At 45.2% G+C, this 15,944-nt stretch overlaps 1 protein-coding gene and 1 long non-coding RNA gene across 9 annotated transcripts in view; one reads left to right on the top strand and one right to left on the bottom strand.

Annotated features, from left to right (window-relative positions):
• The window catches only part of STAB2 (stabilin 2), a 179,447-nt gene that overhangs the window by 79,163 nt on the left and 84,340 nt on the right, over nucleotides 1-15,944 (top strand). For 7 of the 8 annotated variants that reach the window (XR_007063104.1, NM_017564.10, XM_011538537.3 and 4 more), the window contains 6 exons: nucleotides 2,208-2,294; nucleotides 3,106-3,192; nucleotides 4,261-4,372; nucleotides 7,472-7,652; nucleotides 9,493-9,586; nucleotides 11,018-11,176. Coding sequence is in view for 7 of the 8 variants with exons in the window: in NM_017564.10 (NP_060034.9) it covers nucleotides 2,208-2,294; nucleotides 3,106-3,192; nucleotides 4,261-4,372; nucleotides 7,472-7,652; nucleotides 9,493-9,586; nucleotides 11,018-11,176 (720 nt within the window). In the remaining variant the exon portion in view is untranslated. Of the gene's footprint in view, nucleotides 1-2,207; nucleotides 2,295-3,105; nucleotides 3,193-4,260; nucleotides 4,373-7,471; nucleotides 7,653-9,492; nucleotides 9,587-11,017; nucleotides 11,177-15,944 lie in introns of those variants that run through there. The other variant, XM_011538541.2, reaches the window with a different exon arrangement.
• On the bottom strand, nucleotides 771-3,975 carry LOC105369946 (uncharacterized). The gene is made up of 3 exons (NR_188417.1): nucleotides 3,886-3,975; nucleotides 2,777-2,969; nucleotides 771-2,412 (listed from the first exon to the last, which is right to left on the bottom strand). It is a non-coding gene; the product is annotated as an uncharacterized LOC105369946 (long non-coding RNA).

Raw genomic sequence — 15,944 nt, forward strand, 5'->3', positions numbered from 1 at the left:
TTAGAAGATATTAATTGCAGCTGGGGTAATATAAGATGGGCTCGTAGCCTACTATATGGGGGATGGTAGAAAGCGATCCCACAGACCTGTGTTTGAATCCTTGTTCATTGACCCTAGAGAAGTCGTTTAACCCTTTTACTGTTTCTTCATCTGTAAATGATAATAACAAAAAGATTCACATAGATAAAAATTGAAGCACAATATCTAAATCAAGAAGGCACTCAGTTCCCATCTACTTTTTCCCTTTTGGGACTGTAATATTATAGATGTCCACTTTTGGGTGGTACTGGCATATTGTGCAGAACTGTCTGTAAACAAGTCCTAATATTTGTTCTTCCCAAGCACTCTTCTGCAGAGACATACAAGAAAATAATACTGGGACTATCAAAAGCTTCCAAGTTTAATTGAATTCTGTACACATTTATTGAGGATTGAGCATATATCAGACATAGTGCTTGCTTCCAGAGGCATGAGGATGAATAAGAAATCATTTCATTTTGCTTTTATCTGAGAAGCTCCATCTAAAAAGGAAAACAGTTGTGCAATGATCTATCATTCATATGCCAAGGACTCTATTGGTGGTAAAAAGCAAAGTGTTCTAAGGCAAAAATGATGATAGAAATTTTTGCCTATAAGTTTATCATAAGAAAGAACTTACCAATGAGAAGTGGCATTAAACACTAGAATAGATCATTAGGTAAGGTTATGAGCTCTTTAATGTGATTCTATTGTGAAGTATTTAGTAAAGCAAAACATTAAAATTAAATAGATGCAGGTGTTCAGATATTTATTTTGCTTAACAAAGGCATTACCCCTGAGTCCTTCAGGATGCTGTCAAGCAGGGAATGTGAGAGGGAGGAGAAGAGGAAATTGTGTTGGCTGGTGTCACAGTGATTGCTGTGTGCCAGACATTGTTCTAAATGCTTTATGCAGCAGCCCCACGAGGTGGGTATATTATCACCATAACCAATGTATGATTAGGGCACTAAGGCAAGGAAACGTAAACCACCTTGTACAAGGTCACACAGCTGATGTGGCAGAACCATGATTTGTTCTACATGTTTAATCACCATTCTATGATTGTCTCAGCCCAGGGAAAGAGAAGGAAGAGGGAAAAGAAAGGGAAATTAGACACATGGGTAGGAGCCAAAAGAAGCCCTCAAATCACCCATCCCGGGAATCCTGTGACCCACACCTGGTTAATTATCCTGAGATTCCCAAAAGGACTGTAGTGCTCCTTCCTCAGTGACCTCAGAATTCCTTCATATAGCTAATATTTTAGGATTTTATAGCCTAGGAAAGTCTCATTGCCCTCTTCTTGAGCAACAGCCTAAGATGAAGGGATAAGCTTGACATCAACAATTATCTAAAACAAAATTTGAACCAGAGACTAAATTCTCGTGACAAAACTTGAAATCAGCATTATTGTCTCATCAATATTTTCTTGATATTTTATAAATTAGGCAGCTGAGGCCCACAGAGGCTACATGACTGTGATCCTAAAGTCTGTACGTGATAAGACCCATTCTCTAGACCTTATACTTACTATCAGTGTTTCTTGGAAAAAATGATTTAACCTGTCTGGGCCTGTTTCCTTATCTATAAAAAATGGCATGAGAAACATCCACATAGAATTGAAGATTGATGAACTCATCTGTGCAATGTGTCTGGCCCATAAAATGTTCTCAGTAAACATGAGTTCTAGATAATTATGAGTGGGCATTGTTGGTTAGAATGGAAGGATGCATATAAATCTGCCCCACTCCTAAGAGAAAAACTCAGACTATCACAATTTTGTTTGGCAAACCTTTCAATGAAGTGTAGATAGACCCTTTGGGGGCTCCAAAATGTCTCTGTAGGAGATCTTAGGGATGGCTATAGATCGGAAGGGGAGACTAGACCGTATCCAGAATGAACAGAAAATATTTTCTGCTTAGAGACATCTGCTGTGGCATGGAAGAGGGAATAAAGATCTGTGGGCCATGGATGATGCAAACTCTGGCCTGTATTCCACCAACAAGGGAACAGGCCTAAAAAAGGGTGTCCAAGCTCTGATGTAGACCCAGGTCTGCTAGTGTGGTCCAGCACTCTCTCCTGACGTCAGTGGTGAAATGGAAGTACAATGGCAAGTGTCTGCAGAGGGTGTGCAGTGCCTGGAGGACCTAAACATGCTGACTGCCATGCTTTCCCTCCTTGGCTTTCTCCAGGCACTCTTCACACACAGATGTGTCTACAGTGGCAGGTTTGGGAGCCTGAAGAGCGGCTGTGCCCGGTACTGCAATGCCACTGTGAAGGTGAGGAGCGCGTGGCCGAGGCCCAGTCTAGGCCAGTAGGGCCAGGCAGCTCCAGGGCCATGCTCTTGGGTCCTAGGGTCCACGTGGTCACAGGTGGCCCGTGCTTGCTGTTGTCTTCCTGCAGAGGAATCAAAGGTAGATTCTTCATATGGTGGCCAGACTCTGTCCTTTCCTGCATCACAGCCTCCCATGGTTCCCTACCCTCTTAACACAGATCACACTCTTAACACTTCCCCACATGGCCCACCCTCTGCCTGTGGCTCTGACCTGCCTGTCACCCCCATTCCTACCTCAGAGCATGCACACTTGCCATTCCCTCCCTCTGAATGCTCTTCCAGATTTCCCTGAGGCTAACTCATCTTCAGTGTCTCCATTAACCAGCACTGTCACCACCAATCTGCAGTGGCCTCCCTAGTACCCACCTGACTTCTGGCCCTACCTGCCACCACTGGATGATAATACTTTGTTTTCCCAGCACTCACCGTTCTCTGAAATGATCTTGTTTTACTGTTTTTAAAATTCATACATTGACTCTTCCCCAACTTAGAACGTTGGCTCCACAAGCATGAGCCTTCCTCTGTCTGTTCGCACAGTGTTAGAGCCAGTCCAGCACCCAGGGGAGGGGCTCAGTAGAGTTGTGGTGACCAGATGACTGAGCACTAGCCATGCCATCAACTGCCAAAGAAAAGGGCAACCTCATAAGGAGAGGCGAATATGGCTTAGTATAATAATGGAAATTAAAATGCATCCCCTTTGAGGAATTGGTGCTCTACTTGGGGGTTCAAAGGGGAACACGCATTTTGTTTTTCAGATTCCAAAGTGCTGCAAAGGCTTCTATGGACCTGACTGCAACCAGTGTCCAGGAGGCTTCTCAAATCCATGCTCAGGAAATGGACAGGTGAATACTGAAGACTGGCCTTCCATAAGTCAAATCAAACAATAATTTTTAGAACTTCTAAACCAAAATGTGATATAATGCCAGCTACTCTTCCCAGGAAGCAAAAGAAATGACCCCTTACTAAAAGAACAGCAGGTGTCTGCAGTAGAAGGATCTGGGTCTGGGATGGGGGATGGGAGAGAGAGATTCCGGTAATGTTGCCTCTAGTCTGCTTCTCTATTGCGGGCTGCAGGACGTTGGGTAACTCAAGAAGGATCTCTGGGCCTCACGTTCCTCCTGTGGGAGATATCAGGGTTGACCTGCATTGATCTTCAAGACTCCTTCCAGAACTAAGATTTTATGATAGTTAAAAAATAGCTCTGCCTCCTGATTGCTTTTTTGAACCTATGAGCAAAACCTAGTGAAATGTAACAGCCGAAACTTAACTCATCTAGCTTGGAGGCAAAAGTAGCTGTGGTTCATACAGGGAAATTATACATCTGTGCATTTAATAAGCCCGCCTCTAAAACGTGGCTTTTTCAAGGGGAAAGTATCAGCCATGAGTGGGGACACCATGTGGACAAGGAGAATAGGGAGAGGCCAGTACAAATGACTGCGGCCAGGGGTTAGAAAGGGCCCACACCCAACACTGATGTCAATCAGCACACATATGACCTTGCCAGGGCTAGAGAGGTGGGAGGCAAATATGTTTACCACTGAAGAGAGAAAACACTGCAGTTTGGAGTCACAGAGCTGAGCAGGTGAGACTGTAAAGGGAGGCTAGTCACTCATTCTGGAGGCCCCTGTCTTATCACTTATCCCTTAAGCATTGTTGAAAGGTTCCCAGTTCAGCATTGTGATGCCCCCTTGAGTGACTTCCCTTAAAGTTCTAAATCCTGGCTTGGGATTCCCAAGCTCGGCACTGCTTTAGCAGCCTCCCTGATATCACATGACTCCACTTTCCACGAGGAGTCCCAGAGGGTCATGTCAAGTGGGATTTAATCTGAATTCAAAGAAGTCAGGCCATGAAATGAAAACACCTGAGAACTATGTGTCCTAATGGCCCATGGGCCCTGCCTTTGCTCCCAGTGTGCAGATAGCCTCGGCGGCAACGGGACATGCATTTGTGAGGAGGGCTTCCAAGGCTCCCAGTGTCAGTTCTGCTCTGATCCCAATAAATACGGACCTCGGTGTAACAAAAGTAAGTGGCACTTCCAGAGCTTCCTTCCACTCCTAAGCAAGGTTCCCTCTCGTGCTGCAGCAGGGTGCTGGTGCAGGGCTGGTGTCTCAGGACCCCTTTGCTTGGGTTACACCATCATCACAGAGCATTCATTAAGCTTTGGTTCTCAAACTGGAGCGTGTGTCAGAGGGCTGATCCCTGAGCCCCACCTGCAGAGTTTCTGATTCACTAGGCCCCAATGGGTCTTCAGAATTTGCATTTCTAACAAGTTCCGAGGGGGCACTAACACTGCTGGTCTGGGAAGCACACTTTGAAGACCACTCTCCAAAAGTTTCTCCACATTCTTGAAGTGATAGTGGGCTCTATATCAGGAAACAGATTCAGGCCAGACACAGTGGCTCACACCTGTAATCCCAGCACTTTGGGAGGCTGAGGTGGGTGGATCACTTGAGGTCAGGAGTTTGAGACCAGCCTGACCAACATAGCAAAACCCCATCTCTACTAAAAATACAAAAATTAGCAGGGTGTGGTGGCAGGTGCCTGTAATCCCAGCTACTCTGGAGGCTGAGGTAGGAGAATGGTTGAACTCAGGAGGCAGAGGTTGCAGTAAGCTGAGATTGAGCCACTGCACTCCAGCCTGGGTGACAGTGAGATTCCATCTGAAAAAAAAAAGAATCAGATTCACTCCCTACCTTTCAGGCAGACCTCTTCCATCAGCTCCTTTATTTGCAAGGCCTGTGGCCTTGGGCAAGTTACTCTACTTCTCTAGGCCTCAGTTTCTTCATCTGTAAAATGGGGATGATGAAAATAGCAAGTGTCTTTTAAAGTTAGTACAACTTATAAATGGAAACCGCTTGCCTTAGAACCATGCCTAGTACAAAACATGTGCCACAAATATTATTATCTCACTATTTTTATCTATTGTTGTTGCTGTTAGTCTAAGTACAGTGACATAAATATCAAGAAGCTTGTAGAACATGTAGAAAGTTCCACCACAATAGGCATTGAAAAAAATAAAGTTATGCAACCTCAGAAAATGCATTCCCTCATTCTGTTCTTTAAAATGACATCCTGTATATATTTAAATAAGCATATGTATATTTTTGACATATATTTCTAAGCTAACAGCTCGTTGTGGAGTCAGACCATCCTGAAGTCCCCACACTCCAGCCTACCAACCGTCTGATCTCAGAAAACGGCTATTTCTTCACCTATAAAATGAAGATAATAGTGGTACCTACATTATAGTTTGCTGACAGGATTAAATTAGACCATAATTTCGGGCTTTTGGCACAGAGCTTGCACTGAGCAAGTCATCAATAAGCAAAGCCGCTCCTCTTACTGTCGCTACTAACTCCACACATTTCCTATGAAACACACAACCCTTCCGCTCTCCTACCTTATTTGATCTTCACAAATAACTCTCAGGATGGATGGGAAAGCAGAGCACATCAGGGTCGAGGCTACTGAACCCTTTCCAATGTTCTTTTTGCCAAATTAGATTTTCATATTAGAGGAAGAAAAAAATCAGGGTTTATCCCAAGGCCTGACAATGTTGGCATTTGTCTGAGGCCAGCCGGGCAGGACACCAAGGCTGGGATGGGGCGGTGGCCTTCCAGCTGTCACACCTCTCAATCCAGGGCTACGGCTGTGCACAGTCTCATACAGGGGTCTCGTACCTTGCAAATTAAATGCTGACTTCCCTAAAATTGTATAACAATTCTTTTTTGCTTTAAGTCTGGCTGTGATTTTCCAGGCCCGCTCACTTGTGTTGTTCTCTTTCCTGGATGATGGCTCCAAGCACCCACACGAATTCCTCTCCCATGAGTCCCTTCTGGGGTGAAACTCCAGATTCCTTTATTTCTGATCATTTTCCAAGCCCCCCCAGTCCTTGCCAGGTGCCTTTGAAAATCTCCATGTCCTTCTTTCCACTTTCACATGCATAGGAACCTGAGTCTGATGAGGTGGCCCGTGTTACAATTTTTAAATACCTACAATTGAAAGCAAATTCAGCAGCTAAGGTTTAAAATGATAACGGTGATATGGAAATGCCAGTTCATATAATGATCTACGGTGTTTACACAGTCACGAACGGAAATGGACTTTGAATCCTGGTTTAAGTTTCTGCCTGGGAATTTAGCAGCAAGTTGGGCAACTTGCTTCCTCTCTCTGGGCCTCAGCTTCCTCATCTGAAAAATGGGGGATATAAAAGTACCTACCTTCTGGGCCTGGTGACTATTAATGAGATGGTGCATGTGGAAGGCTGACCTAGTGCCTTGAATGAAGTCAGTGCCCAAATATCGCCTATTGGTTATCATTGGTTTGATGTGATAGAGTGAAAAACAAACATATTAGCTACTTATCAGGAGTCCTGCCAGCATGGGAGATCACTTCTATTTATTCCAGAATATCTTCATGAAAGGTGAGAAATTTCCAGGCTAAACTCTCCAACCAGGAAGTAGTTGAAAATGGAGTTCCTTGGCCTCTTTCAAAGCGTCACATCCTCTTCCCCACACCCCACACACATATAGATAAAAAGGAGTTCTTTTTTCTTTTTTTTTTTATTTGTTTTGTTTTTGAGACAGGGTCTCACTCTGTTGACCAGGCTGGAGTACAGAGGTGCAGTCATAGCTCACTATAGCTTCAACCTCCTGGGCTCAAGTGATCCTCCCACCTCTCGGCCTCTGCAGTAACTGGGACCACAAGCACACACCATCATGCCCGGCTAATTTTTGTGTTTTTTGTAGAGACAGGGTTTCACCATGTTGCCCAGGCTTGTCTCAAACTCCTGGGCTCAAGCAATCCTCCCACGTCAGCTTCCCGGTGTGCTGGGATTACAGGCATGAGCCACCATGCTCAGCCTTAAAGGAGTTCTGAGACCAAGTTCTTCCCCTCCTGGGTGGGACAAGCAAGCTCTCCAGGGCTGTCCCAGGCACTCTGAGAACACTTGAGACTCCAAGAAATAGCAGCCTAAGTCTTCTCCCGGCTCAGCCCCGATTCTGCTTTGACAAGAGTGAGTGGGGGGTGAGAAGAGGTGGTCCCTGTCCTCCAGGGTGCTCTGCCTCAGTGCTTGGCTTGTCCCCAAGGCCTGGACGGATGTCCCTCCTCCTCCTCTTTCAGAATGCCTGTGCGTTCACGGAACATGCAATAACAGGATAGACAGCGATGGGGCCTGCCTCACTGGCACATGCAGAGACGGCTCTGCCGGGAGACTCTGTGATAAGCAGACCTCAGCCTGTGGGCCCTACGTGCAGTTCTGTCACATCCACGCCACCTGTGAATACAGCAATGGGACAGCCAGGTAGGTCTGTGAGGGAATGGCCCTTAATGACGCTGAGTCATTAAGTGTAAGGGGATGGCACTTAATGACGCTGTGTTACCTGTAGACGGAGCCAACCCATATCTGAACTCTGAACTGAGGCCTGTTATCTCCAGCTGACAGTGTGGTGTTTGTGAAAAGAACCTCAGTCTGAGCTGGGTTTCAATTGCAGCACTCCCTGCTTTGAAACTTACCAGGTGTGTGACTGTGGGCAAGTTACTTAACCTCTCTGAACCTCACTTTCCTCAACAGTACAGTGAGGATGATGATACCTACCAAGCAGGGCAGTTGTGGAGATTAGCAGAACTCAATGCAGAATCACCTAGCACCGGGGCTAGCACATCAAAGATGTTCCATTATGGAAAAGATAATTATTATCACCACATATGAAAGAAATGAAGATTTGTCCACCAACTTTCTAACCTTTGAAGACACCTTTACTTTTTAAGGCTGTTAATAATTGCTCCCCTGTTAAAGGCATCTTGCAGGAAATTGGGTCTTTAATCAGTAGGTTGCCATTTGTTTCCTTAATACTGTCTAGCATTCTGCAGTGGGTTTGAGGGGGAAAATGCCAGAGGAAATTTACCTCTCTGGAAATACCTAGCTCCAAGGCAGTAACCACCTAAATTATCCTGGGAAATGCAGAGGATGTCTGGAATTCTTGGTCCTCTCCTTGCACTGCTTTTCTTAATTTTTGTTTACATAGTTATTTGTTTTGGTCTGCCTCTCCCACTAGACTATAGGCTATATGAGACAAGAGACTGTCTCTTTTCCACAGTTGTACAATAGAAATGCCTTTTCCTAAGGAGTTAGGATCTATATCGGTGCATAAGGCAAAACTACATGTAATCAACATTACCGCTGAAACCTATGAAATCATCCACAGAGGACTGTCGGCATGGGTCTGTATGAACTATATTGTCTTAGGTAAATCAAACATTATTGGAACAGATCAACCTATTTCTTCATTTGGACACTAGATAATGTATTTTGTTCCTGTAGGAAGCTTGATACATGAAATATATATTTTTTTAATTTTTGTAAGGCATGTATGACTGAATTTGCAGTAAGACCTGGGGGTACAATGTCCCCAGCATCTATCATAGGCCACTCAACAAATATTGGTTGAATAGATGAATGAATGGGCCACCTTTAATAGTAAAAGTGTCATCACGGAACATTTTGAGAGGAGCGTCTGGAAAGGTAATGGGTCAAGAAACCAAGTCAGCTCACAGAAGAGGCACTTGAAAATGTGGTGTTGGGGGAAAAAACCTCTGAGGGGCCAGAGAATGGGAGAGGATAAGTCTCACCTGATTGTCATTTTCAAATATTTTAAGAGCTGTTGCATAGAAGACAGAGTAGAACTCTTCTTTGCTGAACCAGAGGTAATAATTAGTATTGAGCAGGAAGAGTTATAAAAAGGCAGGTTCTGGTAAAATAAGAGCAGAGACACTGTCAGGTGTTGAGATTTATGATCTGCAAGCGCTCTGCTAAACGCTCAGTGTGCATTTGCTCATTTAACCTTCAGCCTTATATGGGAGGTATTAGGCCCATTTTCCTCATGAGAAATAAGATCTCTCAGTTGTTAAGGGACTCGTGCAGTGTCACACAACTGCTAAGAAGTGGGCAGGCTTCATTTCCACCCAGGTGTATCTGATTACAGATCCCAGAAGTACCCCGACCACATTTGAGCGCTGGCTTCCTCCACAGGAGCAAAGGATGGAGCCATTTGGCCAGGAACTGGCTCATCTCTAGCTGGCTGGCTCTCTTCTGGGTCGTTGGTGCTTATTCTGGGGCTGATATTGCACACTCTCCTTTGCAGTTGTATTTGCAAAGCAGGATATGAAGGAGATGGAACTCTGTGTTCTGAGATGGACCCTTGCACAGGACTAACTCCAGGAGGCTGTAGCCGCAATGTGAGTACTGGTCTTCATTTCCACCCTGCCTGGTTTCTTTTTTTTTTTTTTTTTTTTTGAGACAGAGTCTCGCTCTGTCGCCCAGGCTGGAGTGCAATGGCACAATCTTGGCTCACTGCAACATCCGCCTCCCGGATTCAAGCGATTCTCCTGCCTCAGCCTCCCGAGTAGCTGGGATTACAGGCACGTGCCACCACCCCGGCTAATTTTTGTATTTTTAGTAGACAGGGTTTCACCATGTTGGTCAGGCTGGTCTGAAACTCCTGACCTCGTGATCTGCCCACCTTGGCCTCCCAAAGTGCTAGGACTACAGGCCTAAGCCACCGCGCCCAGCCCTGCCTGGTTTCTTGTTGGCTTTTTTCAGTTGATTGTTTGGGTTTTTTTAGGAAATCCTGAGGAAAGACATTCCATAGGTCAATGTCTGATCACTTTTCATATGCATGAAGCATTTGTGTTTAAACCTTGAATTTTTATTTTAACACAGGGTCTCACTCTGTTACCCAGGCTGGAGCACAGTGGTGAAATCATAGCTCACTGCAGCCTCAAACTCCTGGGCTCAAGTGATCATTTTACTTGATTAGGAAACTGGGATCTAGGGGAGTCAAGTGACCAAGTTCTGTTGTTGGTAGGGGTGTATCCAGAACCTACCATTGCTTTCACTAATTCCCTTCAATGATCGCCATCCCCACCTGACCCTAGTCACCTTCATTCCTTACCTATGGTTTAGTAACTGGTTTCTTTGCTTCCTCTTATCTACCCACAGTGCATTGTCCACTCACAGCCAGAGTGGCTTGAAGTGAATCAGATCATGTTTTTCAGGTTTAAGCCCCTTCAGTAATTTCCTCTGGCTCTGAGGATAAAATCTAGATGAAACCACCTGACCCCAGCCTACAGATTCCTTTGATTCCCTTTGAGTGAGCCCCATCCCAACCCCATCCCCCTCAGCCTCAGCTCCGTATCTTGTATCCCTCTCTCCTTCTCATTCTGTCCTCCAGCCTCCTGGTGAGGCTCCTCCTGAGAGGCCCGGGAGCTAGTATAGTGGAGTTTGGGTTGCCACATTATACAGGCCCGGGTTCATGTCTTTTTATAGCTGCATGACCTTGGGCAACACCTGTTTCCTTAGCTGTAAAATAGAGATAATAACAATACTTTCCTCAAGATGATGGTTTACACCTGCAAAACAATATAAACAGTCCCTGGCTTAATAACTAACACAGTGATGTCAGTGGCCATGAGCTGGCCAGTTCCAAGCAATTTTGTTCTTTAAATGACCTAATCTTTTCATGAATCTCAATGTAAATTAAGCATTTCCACCTCACTCAATGCAAATCTGTGTTTCTGGAACATATGTCTGGAAATTCTCTCTTATTTTTGGAATCATGTGGCTGGACTGAGGATTCAGAGGCTTTGCTTTTTCTTTTCCTCCTGCAGGCAGAATGCATCAAAACTGGCACGGGCACCCACACCTGCGTGTGTCAGCAGGGTTGGACAGGGAATGGGAGAGACTGCTCGGAGATCAACAACTGCCTGCTGCCCAGTGCAGGCGGCTGCCACGACAACGCATCCTGTTTGTATGTGGGTCCCGGGCAGGTAGGTTGGATGTCATGAGAGCAAAGAGAAAGCAGGAATCCTGCAGTGACTTTGCTTTCCCCTCAGGACACAGAAGTACTTTGGCTAGAACTTACTGCAGCTTTTTTCAGTCATTCGTGGCAGTGAACATGGGTTCATTGCCACAACAAACCTATGATGTATTATTATCCCATCTTATAGAAAAGGAAATTGAGGCAATGAGAAGCTATTTGCATAAATCACATAGAAAATAAATAATAGTGCAAGATTTGCATCCAGTCTGACTCCAGGGCCGCCCTCTTAGTCACCACCCTGGATCAACCTTATATTTCTATAGCTCTGCAGTGTATTGATCACTTTCACTCACTGTCATTTAATGGAGGACAACGCAGAGAAGGCTACTGCTTAAAAATTAAGGAGCTCCAGGGGAGGGACTACCAACTACACTAGGATTGTGGCAATGGAAAAAGAGACAACTGATAAGGCTCCCTTCCCCCATCCATCCCCACCTGCTTCCACCTCTTTCCACAGGTAGGACCAACAGGTGTGTTTATAATACAAGGCTAAGGAGGTCAGAACACACGGAAGATGGGAACCAGGATTTTAAATCAACCCCCTTATCTTTTGAATCTTGATACAGTTTCTCACTTTTATGTTTTAGGCTGAACTTTTTTAAAGACCTACAAATTATTTTCTGCTCTTTGAGAAATATATTTCTTCCCATGATGATGGCTCTGTTTGAGGAAAGCCTAACCTTGCTCACCATGATATCTCCCACTTGACCCCGAGCCTTTTGGTTCTCAGACCTCTCATTTCTGTGCACAAGTTAATAATCGGAGAAAGCCAGAGCTTGTAGTGGAACTTGATGAGATATTAAAGCCCACCTCCTACCTTCCCTTTCCTTCATGGAGGAATTTACCCAGACAAATGGAGATCTGCCCTATTTTATTTTTTGAGATGGAGTCTCGCTCTGTCGCCCAGGCTGGAGTGCAGTGGCACGATCTCGGCTCACTGCAAGCTCTGCCTTCTGGGTTCATGCCATTCTCCTGCCTCAGCCTCCCGAGTAGCTGGGACTACAGGCACCCACCACCACGCCTGGCTAATTTTGTTTTTGTATTTTTAGTAGAGACAGGGTTTTTCCATGTTGGTCAGGCTGGTCTCAAACTCCCGATCTCAGGTGATCCACCTGCCTCGGCCTCCCAAAGTGCTGGGATTACAGGTGTAAGCCACCATGCCCAGCCAATCTTCCTTATTTAAAAATATCCAAGAAGTTTTTAGGGCCTCCCTCTGTGGCTTTAGGCATCATTCCCACTCACTCCTCCATTCTGCTAGGAATGAGTGATGGAACATCGGTCCTGCGGGCCAGTGCAGGGCTGGACACTTGTGCAGAGACAGTCAGAAGTGTTGGAGCTCCTCTGGGAGCTCATAACTACCAAAGTTAGTGATCTGTACAGAACTCTTTCCAAAGAGACCCCCACAGGGGGTTAAAAGGTGGTCAACATGGGCCGGGCACTGTGGCTTACACCTGTAATCCCAGCACTTTGGGAGGCCAAGGCAGGAGGATCACCTGAGATTGGGAGTTCGAGCCCAGCCTGACCAACATGGAGAAACCCCATGTCTACTAAAAATTAGTCGGGCATTGTGGTGCATGCCTGTAATCCCAGCTACTCGGGAGGCTGAGGCAGGAGAATCGCTTGAACCTGGGAGGTGGAGGTTGCGGTGAACTGAGATCGTGCCATTGCATTCCAGCCTGGGCAACAAGAGCAAAACTCTGTATCAAAAAAGAAAAAAAAAAGGGGGGTCAACATGATTAGGAGCAAGGGTTAAAAAGTGGAACTGCTTAGCTAACAGCATGGCATGCTCTCACCCTAGCCCACCTCCCACTCTTGAAAACTGGTGGGAGATAGAAGCACACTACACCCAGGCAAATCCTCAACGTTGACATGTCTATTTACAGCTAGGGTAAACTATTTCAATAGACCACAGAAGGTGCTTCTCGGGGAGTGACAGTTGGCAATGGGACAGGGATAGAAAATCTGTGTCAGGGAGAAATCTTTCAGTTATAACAGAAAACTCAATTACTTGTGGAAGTGTAAAATGGTACAGCTGCTATGGAAAACAGCACAGCAATTCCCCCAAAAAATTAAAAATGGAATAAGCATATGCTCTAGCAGTTCCACTTCTGGGTATACACCCAAAAGAATCAAAAGTGGGACTCAAGCAGATATTTAAGCACCCGTATTCATAGCAGCATTATTCATAGTAGTCAAAAGATGAACACAACCCAATGGCCATTGGCAGATTAATGGATAATCAAAACGTGGTATATGTATACAATGGAATAGCAATCAGCCTTAAAAAGGAAGAAAATGCTGACACATGCTGCAACATGGGTGAACCTTGAAGCTGTGTTGCTAAGTGAAATAAGCCAGAGACAGAAGGACAAATACTGTGTGATTCCACTGCTCTGAGGTTCCTAGAATAGTCAGGTTCATAGAGACAGAAAGGAGAATGGTGGCTGCCGGGAGCTAGAGTAGGGAGAGGAACGAGGAGTTATTGTGTAACGGGTCTGGAGTTTCAGTCTGGGAAGATGAAAACAAGTTTGGAGAAGGATGGTAATGATGGTTGTACACGAATGTGAATGTATTTAATGCCCCTTAACTATACATTTTTAAATGGTTAAAATGATACATTTTCTCATACATATATTTACTTCAATTCTTAAGAAGAAAAAAAAACTGGTTTAAAAAGAAAAGAGAATGTTTTGGCCCACATGACTCTAAAGGCCATATATGGATCTAGCTGCTGGTACAACATGATTCAGGGCTCAGAAGGCAGCATAAAGGGTCTGTTTCTTGGCTCAGCTTCTTCCCAGGTTCCTGGGGTGAGGGATGACCTCCGGCCACTTCCAATTTATACCATTGCAACTCTTAAGCAGAATGGAGTACATTATCTGGTAACTTCCTCCAAAAAGCCAGGATTCATTCTTTCATTGACTCAGATTGAGTGCATCCACACCCATCCTCATTTCCTACCACTCCCATCAGCCCTTGTGCACAATTACAGAAATCAGGCTGGGGAGGCCCAGGGTGGAAGATGCAGTGATAAGCACAGGCCAAGGCCCTGCACCTCACCCTGGGGTGGAGGAATCAGCCACATTTTATCATGTGGACTAGGAGAGGGGGAGTGATGGTGTCCCCAGAGCCAAATGGCGTGTAGTTTCCAGAAAGTGAGAGAACAGATGCTAGCCAGACAAAATGAAACAGATGTTCCCTTATCTATTCATTTGCTCATTCATCCAACACTTCTCAAGTGCCTACACCCACTCAGCCACTAAGCTCAGTGGTGAGGATAAGAGATTACCGTGGCCAGGGCCCTCAGCCAGACTTGAAGAAATGCGATCTTGTGCGAGGCGACAGACAAACCTATGTATAACGCTAAAGTGATAAATGTTGTAAAAGCCACATAGGGTAAGTCCCATGGTCTGGTTGTTCCACAGCGTCTGAGGGCTGCTTTCCTATTTATCTTTTTGATTTCTCTGACAGCAGAGCCTGCTCATGGGTCTGGAGAAAATTAGCTTTAAAATGTGGCTCCAGGAGTCTTAATTGTGAAAAAGCTCACTGCAGTCTTATGTCTTGCCAAGCACTCAGTAAATAATTGCATTCATTTTTGACGCACTTGAGTTGGCAGATTGCACTTGAGAAAAGGAAAAAAAAAATGACTTGGTGTCTGTATTAGCTTTCTGGGGCTGCCATACAAAGTGCCACAAACTAGGTGGCATAGAACAACAAAAATGTATTGTTTCACAGTTGTAGAGGCTGGAGGTCTGAGATCAAGGTGTCATCAGGGTTGTTTCCATCTGAGAGCTGTGAAGAAGCTGTTCCATGCCTCTCTCCTAATTTCAGGTGCTTTGCTGAAAATCCTTGGTGTTTCTTGGCTTGTGGACACATCACCCTGATCTCTGCCTTCACGTTCAGATGTTGTTCTCCCTGTGGGTGTATCTGTCTCCAAATTCCCCCCTACTTTTTTTTTTTTTTTTTTTTTTTTTTTGAGACAGAGTCTCGCTCTGTTGCCAGGCTGGAGTGCAATGGTGCGATCTCGGCTCACTACAACCTCCACCTCCCGGGTTCAAGCGATTCTCCTGCCTCAGCCTCCCAAGTAGCTGGGACTACAGGTGTGTGCCACCACACCCAGCTAATTTTTGTATTTTTAGTAGAGACGGGGTTTCTCTGCATTGGCAGGATGGTCTCGATGTCTTCACCTCATGATCTGCTCGCCTTGGCCTCCCAAAGCCCCCTTTTTATTAATATAAGGATACTGGTCTTACTGGATTCAAGGCCCACCCTACTCCAGTATGACCTCATCTTAACTAATTATATCGTATCAACCCTATTTCCAAATAAGGTTGCATTCTGAGGTACTGGAGGTCAGGACTTCAACAAATGAATTTGGGAATAAGGGGACGCAGTTCAACCTATTACAGTATCTGTCTCCTCTTACAGTATCTGTCTCCTCTCTGCTCTGTCCTCCTTTCTGTAGACAAACTTGAAAAACATCCTGATGGGAAGATGGGAAGATGGGAAAAGAGGGGGGTCTCTTTGTGGTGTTCTATAAGAAACAGAATGGATCAAAAACCCAGGATTCATTCTCTTTCATTGACTCAGATTGAGTGTGTCCACATCCATCCTCGTTTTCTGATGCTCCCATCAGCCCTTGTGCACAATTACAGAAATCAGGCCAGGGGAGGATCGAGACTGCCCTCCTGTCTAGGATTGCCCTCAGCTGGGAC

The sequence above is a fragment of the Homo sapiens genome, chromosome 12, assembly GCF_000001405.40.
Source record: "Homo sapiens chromosome 12, GRCh38.p14 Primary Assembly".
Lineage (NCBI taxonomy): Eukaryota > Metazoa > Chordata > Mammalia > Primates > Hominidae > Homo > Homo sapiens.